Genomic DNA, 18,457 nt, shown 5'->3' on the forward strand with positions numbered 1-18,457 from the left:
GGTAACCCCTTTACAAACCCTAAGAAGAGTCATGAAGACAATTATGTGAAGGTATTCTGTAGGTAAATGGAGATGCAGCACTGAAGAGAGAGTGAGACATCAGAAACATGGATAGAGTTGGGACTCACTGGTTAGGAGCTACTGTCATGAGTGAAGGACTTCTTAAAGACATTATGGGCAGGTACACAGTGTGTGAAATGGCAATGTCATGCTTGATTGGGCACACATTTAGCAAAACAAAATACCTTATCTCATTATCCTCTTCATTAATTTGTATATTTTCAACTGCCCTTGTAAGACTTGGCTGTCTCTTCTGGAAAAAGAAGAAAGACATATACTGTAAAATAATCAATGAATGGTCTAATATTTAAGAGGTAAGTGGACTCCACTTTTATCTTTTATGGCAATAACTCCAATAACAGTTTTTTCAGCATGTAGCATGCAAAATATCTTTGTAATAAAAAATTATGAAAGCTGCATGGTACTATCAACTCAACATTTTTAGGATGTTGGGGGCTAAAGAGTAATAAAGAAGCTGACACTTAATCAAATTCAAAAGACATTTCAAGAAGCTGAGTCACAATGATTTTTGCACATTTTAAAATTTTAGACAGGCTTCAATAAGAAGAGAACAAAAGAGTAGAAATCCAAAATAGCAGATAATACAAATGACATTTCTATTTGTCTTTTAAGTATATCATATGATTTTCGTCAGATCTTCCTTTTCATATTTAGTTCAGGCTATTAACACCAGTTCCTAATTCTTAAGCGTGAATTATCAGCTAGAGGGATTGTCTCCAGACATAATGAGAAACAGGAAACTTTATAAAATTTAAATTTTGTTTAGATTATAAGCTAAGGTAGAATTCACTGTTTTCTTAAAGGATCATTTCTTGAGGAAAAAAAGATGATAATTTATGTAAACATAGCATATTTTTAAAAAAAGGAATGGTACCACTTACCTTCCAGTATAAGGCTCCAAAAGCAAAGCCAATTATAAGAGAAAACAATGCTGGCAATGCCATGGCTGCCCAGTGTAGGCTGGAGTCTCCAGGGGGATTTTTGGCCTTCCCTATAATTTAAAGAACACACTGATGAATACAGCATATCCATTCTAGAAGTTTTGCTCTTATGCTGTGGTTGTTTTTAACTGTTTCTGTAACACATTCTGGACCTATATCTGTTTAAAGTATTCAAAAGATTGATTTTTCTGCTGAATATTGCTTTTGCAAGGCAATATAAATCCATGTAGTCTCCAAAAGATGAATGCATTAAAAAAGAAAGAAATCACAGAGACAGAAAGAGATCTGGCTTGGGTAATTCTGACACATATGGAACACAGACTTAATATATTTCTGGGGGGAAAATGACTTATACTATCAAGCAAATCTATCTCCCATGCCTTTATCTTCTAAAATCTTTTTGCTTTCTCACTCTTGACAGCTTGCTCAGAAATTTTAAACATGACATTTTACAACCTGGATCAAGATCTGTATGCATTCAGCTATGTTTGGACTGTTGAAAATATTAAATAATTGTATGTGCACTGTGGTTATAGTATTTTTAGGTATCTCATGCTTAGAATCATGGCTGTTTCCACGTTCATATCTTCAACACACATTTGTCGGATGCCACTGTGCAACGGACTAAGAGTTTGGACTTTTAATGTTGGAAAGCTTAAGACTAACACTAAGGGGAATGGTTGAAGGCACTAGTGTTGTCCCATACTACGTCTAAATAAGAAACTCAATGAGAGAGAACATATATGGAATTGGTTTGGGACACCTTTCTTGATCCTGCCTGGCTCTTCCATGAGAAGCAAAATGATTCATGAATTTAGGTTGGATGTGGTGGCTCACCCCTGTAATCCCAGCACTTTGGGAGGCCGAGTCAAGCAGATCACCTGAGATCCAGAGTTCAAGACCAGCCCAGCCAACACGGTAAAACCCCGTCTCTACTAAAAATACAAAAATTAGCTGGGTGTGGTGGCGCATGCCTGTAATCCCGGCTACTACGGAGGCTGAGGCAGGAGAATCGCATGAACCCGGGAGGCGGAAGTCGTAATGAGCCGAGATCATGTCACTGCACTCCAGCCTGGGCAACAGAGCAAGACTCTGTCTTTAAAAAAAAAAAAGGAGCAGAATGATTCACGAATTAAATAAACAAAACACATCTCCCACAAGGGTCTCTTCCAACATGAAACTTATTTTGACAGATTTTTCTATATACCTATACCTATTTAACATACAAAGTACCTAGAGTACATAATATAAAATAATAGATCTACTATGTGTGTATCAACATCTTACAGGGAAAAATTAATTCATAGATTTAACTTGATAAGTCAGAAATAGATTTTATCTACTATGGTGAGGACAGGAACAGCCCATTCCTCTACCATATGTGAACTGAGAGCAGGAAATTCCCTCATCCTATAAATGGTATGTTTCCAAGGAGACTCTAATGATGGGATGTATGGATGTGTGCTCACGTGTGTGTGTGTGTGTGTGTGTGTGTGTTGGGGGAGGAGACAGTGAGGGATGAACAATAAGGTGCTGGTGATCCCCACGTAGGGAGTTGTCAGAAATAGGGTCTTCCATTCACATAACCATGAATATCCTCCTTAGGATTCCTCCTCCTGGCCCACCCCACATCCTATAGCCCCATGGGAGATATGTTTTACCATCTCAAGTTGGAGCCCAATGTGAATTTTCTCACCAAAATAAATCTGAGTAATAAAATGGGATTTGGTATAATTAAAGTACTATCATTACAATAACAGAGCTATTTTAAGGATTATGTAAGATTACGTGGACTCGTTTGGGATTTAACTACTATCTATAAAAGTGCTCTCTATATGAAATGGATTCAGGGTTACAAACAATTCGCACCATTTGAGGAATTTTAATAATACTGTTTGTAAATAAATCATTTGGCTGTTTTGGTTCTCCTTGAAGGCCAATCTGCTGTGGCCCCCATTATCTATTGGGATTGCTGGTATGTAATTACAATAGATTTACTAGGTAACCTCCTTAAGAGGCCATAATCAATGTACACAGAGAGAACAAATAAATTAATTAAGATTTTGTCCTTAAAATCCAATGGAAAACTCTAACAAGCTAGGAAGATGCTATGGAGAACTCCATTATCTACGTTGGGTCAGCCAGATGCCCTGTAATCAAGGTAGCCAAACACCATGTTCTTCTTGTTCTATACAAAGACCAAACCTAAGTCTTGAAATTCACCACTCAGACCAAAGGAAAGACCAGACTCAAAAGCAAAAAGCAGCTTACTAAAGAGTGAGATATTCTGGAATTTGCTACCTAAAACCTTTCTCAGGCAGAAGGATAGCATCTAAGGAAGGGGCTTCCAACAAAGCTGTGTGGGAGGCCTTACTAAAGAAAGCTCAGACTTGCTCTCTGAGAGTGCGGTGACTACCATGTTGACAGTTCCATCCCTAAGACTGTGAGCCAATACACAATCCTGGAGTCTGACTAAGACACAGCAGCAATCTTCCTGCAGGAGACAGGGAGGGAGAGAAACAGCAAAGACTGGATGGCGGGGCGGCAGTGGAGAGGAGGGTTGGGGGAAGCGCCCATAGGTTACTGAGCTTCACCTCCCATAGAGGTCAATGTTACCTCACTTTTTTTATTTCACTTGTTCATGCGTGGGGCTTAAGAACCAGGCCTTTGGTCCATCAGGGATACTACTGTCCCTCTTGCAGGCAGACAAAAAGAACTTTATCAGAAGAGATTTGCTTATACCTCCAGGGAATGACTTTCAATACTTTCCACTGCAGCTATCGAGTAGGAATCAATGAGATTTGAATTGCATGCCTCAAGGCCCAAATGAAGGGTATTTGGGGACAAAACTTAAGCTGACAACAAAGTTTTGATTTTATGCAAAGATAGCCTGCAGAGAATTTATGTGGAGAGGAAGCTCATCTGGGCCGGATTTGAGTAATCCCAAATTCCTGGGTTATTACCATATTAATTATATCTCCTTATTACCAAAACTATTCACTGTCCAGAAATCTTGGGAACTGACTTGTTTCATTTGACTAATAATAACCAACATCTGTAGAAATACAGAACACAAAGAATTGTGCTATAATTTTGCTGAACTTCTTTTTAGAGTGAGCATTTTTAGGAGCACCATGCCTGTGACATGGTTATCTTGGTGCTTATGAAACAAGCAAATGAGTATTCTTCCTTGATTCAGATCCAGAGCTCACTAAAGGTTCAACATAATTACTGATCCAAAGTCTTATTGCATCTCATTGTTCTAGTACTTAATGATGAACTCTTATAAGACATCAGTTATGTCTCCAAGCACATGTGTACTAACTCACTTAAAACTCACAGAAACTCTGTGAAGGAGGTATTATGATCTTCCATTTGACCGAAGAGTCAAAAGAGTTTAACTTGACTGGTATATGAGTCCAGGAAGGTTGGGTCAAGACTATTTCTAGAAAATGTATAAGATAATGTCAAAGTTAGGATTTCTTTCTCTATCATTTAGGTACTGTCTGCAAGAATCTCAAACATAAAACATCTTTTAAACATTCTCTTTGCTTATCATAAAGGATATTACTGTTATGCTATAAACATAATTCCCTTTGGATAACTAATAGGTTTGTATGTTATTCCATTCTCCCATGACTTTTCCTTACACACTCACATCTCTGTAATAAGTTTTCATATGCCCTGGTACTCTGACATGGCCAGCTTTTGAGTTATCCCTGAAAACTAGCATGCTTTCTTCAAATTTCCCTAACCCTTCTCCCAAAAAAGTCTTACCCCCTTTGTGCTACACCTAAAAACATTTGCATAATTCTATTATGATACATATTGTATACTGTACTATGAGTATTTTATTTACGTCTGTTTCTCTCTGAATGTTAGCACCACAAAATCTTGTCCTGTGCAGAGGTATCTAAGTGGCATATTCATGAGTGACATCACCTAGCTAAAAGTTGCTGACAATGCAAGACTCAAAATTTTTTAAAAAGGAAGAAAAAAGAAACAGTGAACAAAAAAGAAGGCTGTCCATTCATCTTGCAATTTAAAAAGTAATCTCAGATTCAGAGGCACGGGATTGAATAGGTATTTTATATTTAGTTTGTCTTTTAAAATTAGTAGGAAAGACTTTTGTTTCCAAATACGATGGTAGCAGACTAGCCTTTCCAACCTAAGTAATTATAATTCTAGACAAATTATGAGGCAACTCTTTTCAGAAATTAGTGAACAGCAGTACAAATGTGTAATTCACGAGACAGGGCATCCACACTAAGTGAGGCTCATGTTTGCCCTGGTTTTCTGGCTTTCAGCTCTCCTGTCTGGGGTGCACTTTCAGATTGAGGTGTGGAAGACAGAGTTCAAACAAGGACCAATGGCCTCACTAAGCTAGGGAGTCAGAGATTGAAGTTCAGGGCTGCCGATGCAGCTGGAGTTTCTAGATCTAGGTTATTTGGAAGAAGGGAGCTGTGCAAAGAAGGAGCATCAGAAATCCCTAGATGAATCTCCTTAAGTTACTGGTCCAATAATAAGCTGTATATGCACCAGTAGAGAAGTCACAAAACCTGACCAAAAAATAAAATTATAATAAAAAAAAATAACCAAACACCAAACTCATGGGAAGCTATAATCTTAGTAGAGGCCCTAGCAGACACAGAACAATGGGGACAAAATTATTAAGACAAGCAATATTGGAGAGATTTTCTGAGCACTTTACAGATATCTCAGATATTCCATGCCTTAGGAATAAGGCTACTTTCCCTTGTACCCAAGAAAGTTTAAAAACAAGGCTGGGAGAAAAGATAAACCTCATCTGCTACTATTCGAACCTCCTACCAAAACACAATTCAATAGCCTCTAAAGAAACGCTATAGAATCTGAAAGATATTCAACAGCATAGAATTCATAATATCCAGCATATATTAAACAATCACTAACCATTTAAAAGGAAATGTGACCCCTAATCAGAGAGGAAGAAGTCAATAGACATCAACTCTGAGATGACCTATGTGTTGAAATTTGGAGACAAGAACTTTAGAGCAGCTATTATATTTAAGTGACAAAAAAGAATTTTTTTTCATAATGAGTATGCAGATGGAAAATTCCAGCAGAGAAATATGAAATACATTAAACAATTAACTGGACATTCTAGAACAGAAAATATAAATTCATAAATAGAATAATTCACTGGATGAAAAATTCAGCAGATCAGAGATGGCAGAACAAAAGGTCAATGAACTTGAAAGCAGACAAGTAGAAATTACTCAGAAGAACACAGAGAAAAGAGGATAAATAAATGAACAAAACTTCTGCGACCTATGACACACTAGCAATCTGCTAACATATATGCAAGTAGTATCTCAGAATGAGAGGATAGATAAAATGGATTAAAAAATTTGAAAAATTTATGACTATTTTTTCCCCAAATTTGAGGGAAAACAAATATATAGATCCAAAAGCTTGACAAATCTCAAGAAAGATAAATACAAAGAAAACCACTCATAGGCATATTCTAGCTCAAATGTTAAAAAGGAGAACACTTTGAAAGAACGCAGAGGAAGAAATGACCCTGTACATACAGGGTAAAAATAAGACAAATGGTGGCTACCTTTTTTATTTTTTTCAGAAACAATAACTGCAGGAATACTATAGTGATATTTTTAAAAGACTAAAAGAAAAAAAATCCTGTGTACCCAGACTTCAATATCTAGTAAAAAGTACCTGCTACATGGAAGACAAAACAAAGATATTTTCCAATTAAAAAGAAAAAAGAATTTGTTGCCAGCAGATCTGTATTATAAGAGATGCTATAGAATGTTTTTCAGCCTGAAGGAAATTAATACCAAATGGAAACCTGGACTGACAAGAGGGAATGAAGGGTACAGGAAATAATAAATATGCAGGTTAATATAAAAGACAATATATTTCTTCTTCTCTTACTTTAAAATACGTATGACAGTTCAAAGAAATAATTGAACTGCATTGTGTATTGTAGACTGTATTGTGAAATTTATAACTGATGTAGATATGTTAATATATGTCAATGATGACACAAAAGATGGGTATGGGTAAATAAAACTACCCTGTTTCAAGGTTCTTGCATTTTTTTCTCAAGTGCTACAATAGTAACTCTAAGTAGAATATTACAAGTTAAAGTGTATACTTTAATTTCCAAAATAACCACAAAATAATGCAAAAGGGTGCTGTTGAAAATCCAACACTAATTAAACACTAGAAAAAAAATAATTAACCAAAAAAAAAGGGCTAGAAATAAGGAACAGAAGGTCAATACACAAATGGGACAGATAAAAAACAAGTAAGGAAATGGTGGATTAAAATCCAACTATACCAATGATTTATTACATAGAAATGGATGAAGCACTCTAATTAACAATCAGAGATACACTAAATAAAATAGTGAAGCCCAAGTGTATGTTGTCTACTAGAGATGTACTTTAAAAATACAGACAACAGACTGAAAATAAAGGAAAGCCAAACATATACCATGAAAACAGTAAGCATAAGAAAGATTTGCTCTAATATCAGACAAAATAAACTTCAAGACAAAAAGCACTATCAGAGATAATGAGGGATATTTCAGTAAGATTAAAAGGTCAATTAAACAGGGAAGATCTAACAATAATCAATGTATAAGCCCATAATAATAAAGCTTTAAAATATATGAAGCAAAAAACCCAAAACCAAATGGAAAATCAGACAAATCCACAATCAAAAGTTAATATTTTCAATTCCCTTTTCTCAATAATTAATAAAAATTAGACAAAAAGCTTAATAAGGAAGGGAAGATATAAACAACACTATCAACCATTTTGGCCAAATTTGAATGCTGCATTCAACAGTTAAATAACATACATAAAATAGTTTCAGTACATTTCAAAAAAATTATAGAGTATGTTTTCTGACAACAAAATTCATAGACTAGTAACAATAAGATATATAGGAAAATCTCAAACTTTTTGACATCAAACAACGCACTTTTATATTATCCATGAATCAAAGAAGAAATCACAGTTGACAAATATTTAGAAAAATAATAAAATCACAACACAAAAATGTGTGAGGTGCAGCTAAAGCAGTGTATTTAAGAAAATTTATACCTTTAAGTGCTTGTAATTAGCAAAAATAGTTTAAAATCAATGATCTAATTTTTCCACTTCGAAAAGCTAGAAAAAGTGGAGTAAATGAAACACAAAGCAAATGGAAGGAAATAATAAAGATTAGAAATCAATGAAATATAAGCAGAGAATTTAAGAAGACAAAAGTTGCTCCTTTGAAAATGTTAATAAAATCCATAGTTGGTAAGAAAACCCTTAATTGACTAACACACAAACAGGGCTCTAGTCCCTTTTTGACACATTTTAGAACTGATATGCTACGTAATTTAGAATTTTAGGTTTCAGAAGATTCTGTCCTGCACATAATGTATAACATATACTATCCCCAGTGAATCCTGGGTAGCATTCTGTAATCAAATACATTAATATTTCATTAGTAAAATATATATTCACTTTTAGAAAGATAAATAGACTATAAATAGCCTCAAATCACTTCAGGTCAGGTTTTGGTGGCAAAAAATTCCAAAATAAGTAAATTGTATTTTAGAGTTTTTTTAAATGTTCTGCATTGTAACAAGCTATTATGAATTAGTAATAAATTGATTACTTCTTTTCACAGATAGGTCTTCTAAGTCCCTGAACAAATGACAGTGCCCCATTTATAAGTCCTAAGGGATGACTTTTTTAGCCTAGATCACAAGATGGTTTTTATTCTTCCTGCACCTTCCATGAGGCTAGAGAGTATTTAGTAAATACAATAAACTTTATAATGACCTTTGTCTGGATTTTCAAAGAAAATTGGGTTCTTGGCAAAAGAGGACAGAAATTTCAGAAAAATAAGCCTATTCTCATCAAGCATATAATTCTGTGGTAAAATAACAAAATCATCAAATTTCCAAATGCGCAATAGTAAATACTGATATACACAAATCTGAAAATATCTTTGGAATTCTATACAACCAGCATTTATACAATTAAACTTCCGTTTTTGTCAGACACATTCCACACAGAATATATGTTAACAACCAGCATTTATACACTTAATTTTAAACTTCCGTTTTTGTCAGACACATTCCACACAGAATATATGTTAATGATTCAACAAAAGGCATAAATCATATTTCTAAAATTAATTTTATGTCTTATTTAAAATAACCTCAGCAGAAAATTTATTGGCCTAATTCTCTAAACATTATCTCCAGCTCTAGGGAAATTTAATTCTACAAACTTAAGTCTCAAGAAGACCATAAAAGGAATAACAGTAACAGAACAGTATCAATAATAATAAATGTAGAAGTTTCCTTGAAAGCCCATGCAATACTCCTATAGGTGCTAATTGGAGCCATGCATGCATTAAATCAGATATATGTACTTACTATTACTGCTACTGCTGTCATTCCTAAGGGAGCTGGCTGCAACAGGGGGTAACATAAATGGTTTTGTGACACTGACTCTGGAATCTAAATAGAAAGCAATAATGTGTCAGTGTTATATGGTGATTTGTATGAGTTATAGAGTCCCTGAAAGGTGAAGTGCAATACCAGATTACTTGCCAGGTCTGCTTCCCAAATCTAGAGTATTCAGATCCTATTTATTTCATACTGGGTCCTGCTATTCTATTTTACTAAGAAATCCACCATTATCACCTTGTAGAACAAATACTTATTGAATAAATATGTTAATAAATACAAATAATGACACATTGATGGTAATTTCTCATTAAAAAAAGAAAGCAATGAATCCAGGTTTGTATTATAGGGACCCAGTGAAGGGAAAAAAGAGTCTTAATACAGAGTAACTGGGGAGGATCAGAATTTGTGACTTAGAGTTAGATCCTTAAGAAAAAATTTGAGAAGGACCATTAAGTAGACTGGAGGTACAGAATAATATAATTGTAATTACTGGCAAATATTAGATGAGAAAAGGTATGAGTGGCCATCTCATATATTGTTTACTCACAAACAGCTCACTAATTTGAAACTGATGAATATTGCTTTGGGTTAGAAACCCACAAATCTACAATCATTAGTTTCTTCTGTGCTATTGATATCTGCTTTTTTATTAGACGTACATGCATGTATCTTGCTACAGCTTAACACAGAGGTAGATTCTTACTACATAGGGAAGATTTAAGTTTGTTGTTTACATTTGAACTGGAAATGCTTACATGTCTTACCTTTCTCAGGACTTAATGTTGAAGAAACCACACAATCACTAGTTTCAGATGCCACTACAAAGTCCTTGAAGGCATCAATGGATCTATTAAAAATTCTAAAGAATTCTTCAGGAGTAAAGAGCCTGGGTTCTGGGCTCTTGAATGATTTTTTTAGATCCTAGAAGAAAAAATAGGATTACATTTTTCAAATAGTCTTCAGACTTAACTGAGGTGAAGATAATGGACTATAAATATGTCTCTCAAAGATTCAAGTATTTAGACTCTTACAACTAGCACTTTTAGATGGCTGTTTTAACGTATGTAATTCAGATTGGTAATGCAGGGTAGTGATCCCAGTGGGATCACAAGTTGAATCTGGGGCAGTGAACACAATGTCATGGCAAAAAATAAAATAAAATAAATAACCTTAAAAACAAGCTGGGGATATTTTTCTTTAGAGATGCTCATTAAAAACATGAGGGTTTATTTTTAAAAGACCCCTCCATTACAAGAACTTCCAGTCTTTAGAAAAAAAAAAAAAAAACCACACCATAATGCATGCTCTAATATCCAAAAATTAGAAAGTCAGATGATACTAAATATTGGCAAGGGAACTCTTACATACTGCTGAGATAATGTAAGTTGGTACATTTGATATTATCCAGTAAAGTTAGACATGTGACCATCCTGTGACTCAGAAATTCCATTCTCAGGTAAATAACCTACTGAAACTATTGCACATATATACCATCAGACATATAAAAAAGTTTTTTTGCAGCAATATCTGTATCACTTATGTCAATCCAGACAGAGTGGCTTAATAACTAGTGATATATTGAATTAGTGGAGTTCAATTCAAGAGAAGGTTAACTACAGCTATATGCTTTAAAGTGGATACATCTTCTAAACCTAAAGCTGAGTGAAAGAGGCAAGTCCCAAAATAATAAAAATGGTATGATTAATTGATATAAAATTAATATAAAATTCCCCAAAGCAAATCAAAGCTATGTTGTAGGGATACATAATGGATTATAAAGAAAAGTAGGTAACCAAAATAAACAACTATCTGTTACTTACTATGGACTATTCTAAGTGCTTTATATACAGTAACTCAATCTCCAAAACAACTGAGAAATATAATTGGTAATCTCCTGGGTTCCCACCAAAGTGCCATGATTAGTAAATGCACATTCTTTGTTGTTTGCAGTGTTCTTCCCAACATCACCATTGACCTAACTCATTTACCTAACTCATCTTTAAGGCTCTAATGCACATGTTATTTCCTTTGTGACACCTTGTGTGATGCACTCTACTTTTTGTGATCTCTACTTCTTTTGAATGCCATTGGCACACTATATGCAGTAGTAATATGAAAGAGTGGTTAACACCACATTCTGACTTTGGAAATTAGAAAATAATACAAAGATTAAAGGTAGTGATTGGATTATTAGTATGGTAAGAATTATAAGATAGGATAGTACAAATGGGATTGAAGTTGGGTCTTACAGAATAGCTGGAATTTAGATGGGACACAGGAAAAAGCATTTAGGTATTAAGGTACAGAATCCTGCTTAAAACTTTGAATTTAAACTTACATAAGTCTCCTAAGCTAATCTTTGGCCATTTGAACTGTATACCAAATCAGGTCTCCTAAGCATGATTTTGCTATAGACACAGTGTGATGAAAAAACATCAAATTTTATTAATATTTATTTTGCTAGGTAGGGTGTTAAAGTACTCATGGCAAATAACCTAACGTCGACCCTGTTAGATGAATTCTGGCATTGCCCCCATTTTAAAGATAAAGAAAGTGAGGTACAAAGAAGTTACGCTCACAGAACTCATTAGCGACAGAGCCAGAATTTAAACTCCAATATCTCACTCTTATTTTCTGGAGTACATTGCCTATTCCATATGTCATGCCCATATCCTGAAGTTGGTGATGATCAGTTATCCAATGACTTTGAGGAGCCAAAATGTATTCCTTTGCTGTGACCTATGGGGTGATTACATTATGCATAAAAGGATATGTGTTTATTACAGACAATTTTCCATTTAAATGAACACTTGTAACTTAATAGAAAGGTTTCAAGGACTTCACTTATGAAGAATAAAGATAAAGGCAGGACTGATTTTGCATTGTAATGTAAATAAGTTTTATTTTTGTATTAGATGACAACATTTAAGTTTGAATGTGCACTTCAGTATTGCAGTATAACTGCAAATACTTGTTTTCTTTGCTCATCTGAACAAGATTTTTAAATTTGAAGTTTATACAATCAAAATATCATAAATAAAGGTGCCTCATTTTCCCCAACAGCACCAAGAAGCATGGGTTTTTAGAGAAGCGTAATGAAAAATAATCCCAATGAACACAAAGTTACCTTAGATGAGTTTTCTTTCACGCACTCCACAAGGTCATCCACTATATTCACAAGTTTGTCTATGATGGAATAATTACTCAAGCCTTCAGAAATATTTGAAAACTTGTCCAGAAGATCAGTCAAGCTGTCTGACAATTGTACTACCATCTCGCTTATCCAACAATGACTTGGCTGCAAGATATGAAAAAAGAGACAAAACAGCTATTTTAATAAGTAAGTGCCATAAAACTCGGAGTACTCTTCAAAGCTATCGTTTTAGTTACTCAAGTGATTCTCCTGCCTCAGCCTCTCGAGTAGCTCAGATTACAAGTGCCTGCCACCATGCCTGGCTACTTTTTTATTTTTAGTAGAGAGGAAGTTTCACCATGTTGGCCAGGCTGTCTCAAACTTCCTGACCTCAAATGATCCACCCGTCTCAGCTTCCCAATGTGCTGGGATTACAAGCATGAACCACCGTGCCTGGCCAGATTTTTAAAATTAATATTACATTACTTAAAATGTTGTAATAGGAGGACAGGGGTTATTGTAACAGGAAGAGAAGGGACTAGTGTGACAGGAGGAGGAGGGACTATTGTAATAGGAGGAGGGACTCTTGTAACAGGAGGAGGAGGTTGTAAGTTTGCATGCTTTATATGATTTTAATGTGTTATCTTTTCTCTTATAAAGATCTTTTAAGTGGAAACTCTGATGTATTTTGAACACTGCTGAAATGCTGCAGTGACAAAAATAACATTGTTATTAAGAATAACATTGAATTGGCTCATTAAAAGCACAAATAATTTAATACAACTTGTAACAAAAATATTGTACTCAGAGTAACTGATGTCATGGAAAATAAATCAAACTACTAAGCTTTATTTCTCTATTTACCAGCAGAATATCTCTGTGGGAAAAGTCAAGCCTTTTATTTATTTATTTATTTATTTATGCTTTAATTTTTTACAGAGACAGGCTCTCTCTCTGAGTCCTGGGCTGTAGTGCAGGGGTGCAATCATGGTTCACTGCAATGTTGAATTCCTGGGCCCAAGTGATCTTCCCACTTCAGCCTCCCAAGTAGCTGGCACTACAAGGCGCATGCTACCAAGTGTGGCTAATTTTTAATTTTTTTATATAAATGGGATCTTGCTTTGCTGCTCAGGCTGCTCTTGAACTCCTGGCCTCAAGCAATCCTCCCTCCTCAGCATTCTAAAATGCTGGGATTAGAGGCGTGAGTCACTGCATCTGGCTCAAGTCATTTATTTATTCTAAAGTATAGAAGGGACCACTTTATATTCATTTAACAGAACTGTTTTACTTAATATAATACAGCCAAAAAGGAAGCAGGTTTATCTGCAGATAGGTAAGCCCCAATTCCTGGAACCATTAAATGTCACTCAAAACTTTTAGGATTGTTGGCTCTGGCTTCAGATAAGAAGGATAAACAAATCTCAACATGGGAATTTAGTTCAAGTGGCCATTTCAACTCGTCATAACCAAGTTCTCAAAGAATATGTGTTTCCAAAGTATGTGCAGAACAGAGTCTTTGTTTTGTTAAATCAGTGCTTACTTCAAGCACATGCAAGTTCCTACTTGCATCATTATCAGGTCTCTTTCAAAGCTGTCAGTCTTTCCTTGGATGCTGAATTGCTCTGCAAGTTTCTTTCCTTTTAGGGAGTGATAATTCCTTATAGACCGTCAGCCCTATCAACAATGAACAGATTTCCTAGGATATGGAACACAGCATACACTGTAAATTGCTATTTGAATAGTATTTATGTGATAGAGTAGCTTTCACCAATTCATTCCGTTGAAATTGTGCAAATTTTTCTAACAATGAAATTCCAGGTATTAATCTCTTAGGACTCTATTTCCTCACTTTATGAGTATGCTTGCCTAGGATCTCTGGCAAGTAAGAACCAAAATCAAATTCCTTGTTTTGAATTAAGACATTCCTTTAGTTTCTGTGGTAGTTGTCTTATATGAATGGGTACTTTGTTCATTTTGCTTTTTTTTTGTGGTTAAAGTAGAAAATGTTTTGTTGATTTGTTTCTTATTTTTAAGCTGAGGAATTCTGGGGTACTTACTGCCACTTCTGTTGATCACTATTTTCAACCGAACTCTATGTTTACATTTTATATTCTAGTTCCTATTTAGCTATTACCCTACCTCCTCCCATTTTCACATAACTAAATCAACAGTCTAAACAATCAACTCTTTCCAGTAAAATTTCCAACCCCAATCCTGTGCTTTCTTAGAGTTAAACCATGGAAATTCCACAATCTAATCCTACTCTAATGTTTGCCCTTCTAAAGTCATGAACAATTTGTTGATAGTTGATATAAACTACGTGCCTACACAGCTGAAAAATCGTGTATTTCTAAAACACTTGTAATCATGTTTCACTCATTTTTTATTTTTGCTTGTGCTATTGTTTCTTTGGAAAAGGCTGAATCATAAATTCAAAGTTCTATTTTTCAGTAATTTGTTTAACCATGTATATATTGGCTTTTTAAGATTCTTGAGTTTATTAAAGATAAAATGAAGGTAAACAAATAATATTAAATGTCAGTCAGTTTTGATCTGCCTGCTTGTAAGAGAGGAAACTAGTTTTGACTGGAATGTCTAGCAGTTTTGTAATTTTTAATTAAATATCGTCAATGATTTGCAAGGAGAATAAAACACAATGAACTAAGTATTTCATTTGTGAGGTGATAGCAGGTCTTTCTGTTTTTCAATTCCTCCACGATTATGATTATGAAATAAATGATTAAAGATTGTCAAATTTACAAACGTACTTTTTGTTTGCCTTAATAAATGATATTATCACTGTTTCTTATTTTTCAGAGATATTTTAAACTTAAATAGTTTTATATAAATATTTACTCAATGATATTCATTAGAAGAAAGTAAGATATAATGTTCTCTCTTTCACTAGAAAATATAAAGGATTAAGAAAATTGACAGTCATACAGGATGTCAAAGGTGACACAAATGATTGCTTTTAAATTCCTGATGTGCATGTAATTTGATGCTTTATTCGCCTGTATGTATTGTTTCCAAAAGAAGAAACATATAGATTCTGCTTTGAGTGTAAAAACTTTTTTCTTGACTCCATGCTCTCAATTTCTTACCTTCTTTCTTGATAGCTTCTGTCTTATGTTTTCTTGGTTAATTATAGCAGCTCTAGCTAGGACTACTAAAAACATGTGCTTTCTATCCCTATGTACTTATAACATGTTATTATTCTAGAATCCAAACTGACTCAATGATATTGACTCAATGATATTGGACTGCTAGCATCTCACTACCACTGACAATTCAGTCAAAAACTGTGAACTTCCTTAGGAATTTTAAAGTACCATGAACACCAAATCATGATCTCGCTAAATGATTAAATAAAATATATAATTTAAAATGAATAAAATTAAAAGTATTCTAAACATAACTAGGAATATGACTGTTTCCAAAGACCAACAACAGAAATATATGCACATTCTAAGACTAAGCATAAATTTTTAAAAGGTAATATATTAATTCCACAGAATATGTGACACAGAATCTCTGTAGTTCCAGAACCAGTAAATTTGAGAAACCGGCTGAAATAAACCATGTGTTTTAAAATCATCCTGGAGACTTGCTAATTCTGGCATGCTTTCTCCTCTCTATCTCCTGCCTCATTCAAGAAACTGTGCTGGTTTATTAGGTGAAATAATTTGACACATTATTCCACATTGGTATTAGATGCACAGTCTTTTTTTTTTTTTTTTTTTTGAGACAGTCTTGCTCTTCTCGCCCACGCTGGAGTGCAATGGCGTGGTCTCAGCTCACTGCAACCTCTGCCTCCTGGGTTCAAGCGATTCTCCTGCTTCAGCCTCCTGAGTAGTTGGGATTACGGGCATCTGCCACCACGCCCAGCTAACTTTTGTTTTTTTAGTAGAGATGGGATTTCACCATGTTGGCTAGGCTAATCTTGAAGTCCTGACTCCAGGTGATCCACCCATCTCGGTTTCCCAAAGTGCTGGGATTACAGGAGTGAGCCACCGCGCCCACCCCACAGACAGTCTTTAAGAGCAGTCACGGTAAGATTTACGGATTAAGAAGCTGAAAGTAGACAAAATAATACTGTAACACTTCTTCACTGAAGCACTTTACATTACTTTCAATTTGGTAGCTATTCACAGAGAGATATCTATGTTCTTTCTTATAGGGCCTAAAGCTAGTATCTACCCAGTGAGAACGTTCTTTTCACAGGAGTTGGTGAAATACCAATTAGAGATTCTCAGAGTGAAAAGCCTGGCTCATAAACTATGAGGTTTCTAAGAATATTCATAAGGAGTATTCACCCAGCCTTCTAATCTGATTAATCTAAATACCAGCATTACCACCCAGTTTGTTTTTGTTTTACTTTCTTTAATTCGTGTCAAACTTCAGTCTTGCTGGAATTAGACGTATGCATGCCTAGGGCACGAAGTGTACCTTTCTGTTTGTGCTTTCAGCATCTACCTCTGGGATGTGCAATCAAAATCTAGAGCCATGTCATCAGAATCACCAGAATTCCAGACCTAGAAGGAATACTGAGGACCAGTCTCACCAATTGTATAAGCGGGAAAATCAAGGCTTAGAGTAGTGAAGTGTCTCGTTCCAGGTTACATAACAAATTTACACAGAAACGCGAGAAACCAGGACTCTCGATCACTCATTTTGTTCTAGTAGCCATGAGAATAGTGAAAGCACATAAAACTGAAGTGTTTTTTTCTGCTGAATTCACTATGACCCATGTGGTCTCACGTCTGGACCAGACACGATTCTTCGGCTCAATTAAGAAATCTCTTTGGAATAGAAATGGTTCTTTCTGTTTCATTTCAGTTAATCCAGAGTCATACCAATGAAGGTAAATTTCTCTGAGGAATTGTGACAATTGCCATTTGTGGACTTTATTTACTGTTCTTTTGGTTTTTTTCGTTGTGGCTAGAAAGCTGACATTCTACTCTCAAACATTCCATGGGCAGGCAAATTTAAAAGTTTCCTATAAAAGCACTTTGCAAAATATTGCATGTTCATGTTGCCAGTGTAGTCTCCGAAATCTTAACTTCTCTTTGGATTAGCTGGGTTTTGTAATGATTTATTTTAGTCCTCTCCCTAAACAATTAATTTGGGTCTTCAGTGTTCACTTTAGGCATCTAACTTTACATTTCTTGTTTGAATTAAAGTGCCGTAGAAATCTCAATCTGATTAAGATGGTAATCAACCAAAGCACTCTAAATATGTGTTATTTCCCAGGGCAGACCTATAAATGGCCCCTAGGCCCGCCCTAAAATAGAACAGTGAAGGAACAGCACAGGGGTTTGGGGAGTGAGGGCAGCAACGATGAACTAGAGGCCCAGTTTTTAGTCCCAACTCTGTCAATTCACTTTGTGATTTCAGGCAAGTCATTTAATCTATTCAGGGCTTCAGTTTCTCCATCTATAAAATAAATTCTAATCGATGCTGGCCAATATGGGAATCCCACTATCCATCTGCAGCTCCTCTCACTCAAAATGCATTGAATGTGACTGCAGAGCTAAAATTTTCATTTTACTTAATTATAATTTCTTTAAATTGAAAAGTCAATAATATCACCCTATTTAGAGGCTGGAACTTTTAAGTATGTTTGGAAAACACAGAAATGTGACTATCTTCTCAATGGTAAATTTTATTAAAAAATCTAAATATGGAATAACTATTTCTAATGAAAATTTAGTGTATGAACTGTAATATGTTGCAGATGTAAAACACACTGTGGATTTTGAATAATATGAAACATATAAAACATTCCATTAATAATTTTTATATTGATTTTAAGGTGAA

At 34.9% G+C, this 18,457-nt stretch overlaps 1 protein-coding gene across 2 annotated transcripts in view; it reads right to left on the reverse strand.

The window, feature by feature from the left end:
• The window catches only part of KITLG (KIT ligand), an 87,679-nt gene that overhangs the window by 13,273 nt on the left and 55,949 nt on the right, over positions 1-18,457 (reverse strand). The window contains exons 4-8 of one of the 2 annotated variants that reach the window (NM_000899.5): positions 12,632-12,802; positions 10,269-10,425; positions 9,469-9,552; positions 963-1,072; positions 246-313 (exon numbers count right to left, since the gene is read on the reverse strand). In NM_000899.5, the coding sequence (NP_000890.1) occupies positions 246-313; positions 963-1,072; positions 9,469-9,552; positions 10,269-10,425; positions 12,632-12,802 (590 nt within the window). The remainder of the gene's footprint in view (positions 1-245; positions 314-962; positions 1,073-9,468; positions 9,553-10,268; positions 10,426-12,631; positions 12,803-18,457) is intronic. The other variant, NM_003994.6, reaches the window with a different exon arrangement.

Source organism: Homo sapiens, chromosome 12 (genome assembly GCF_000001405.40).
Source record: "Homo sapiens chromosome 12, GRCh38.p14 Primary Assembly".
NCBI classification, from domain to species: Eukaryota; Metazoa; Chordata; class Mammalia; order Primates; family Hominidae; genus Homo; species Homo sapiens.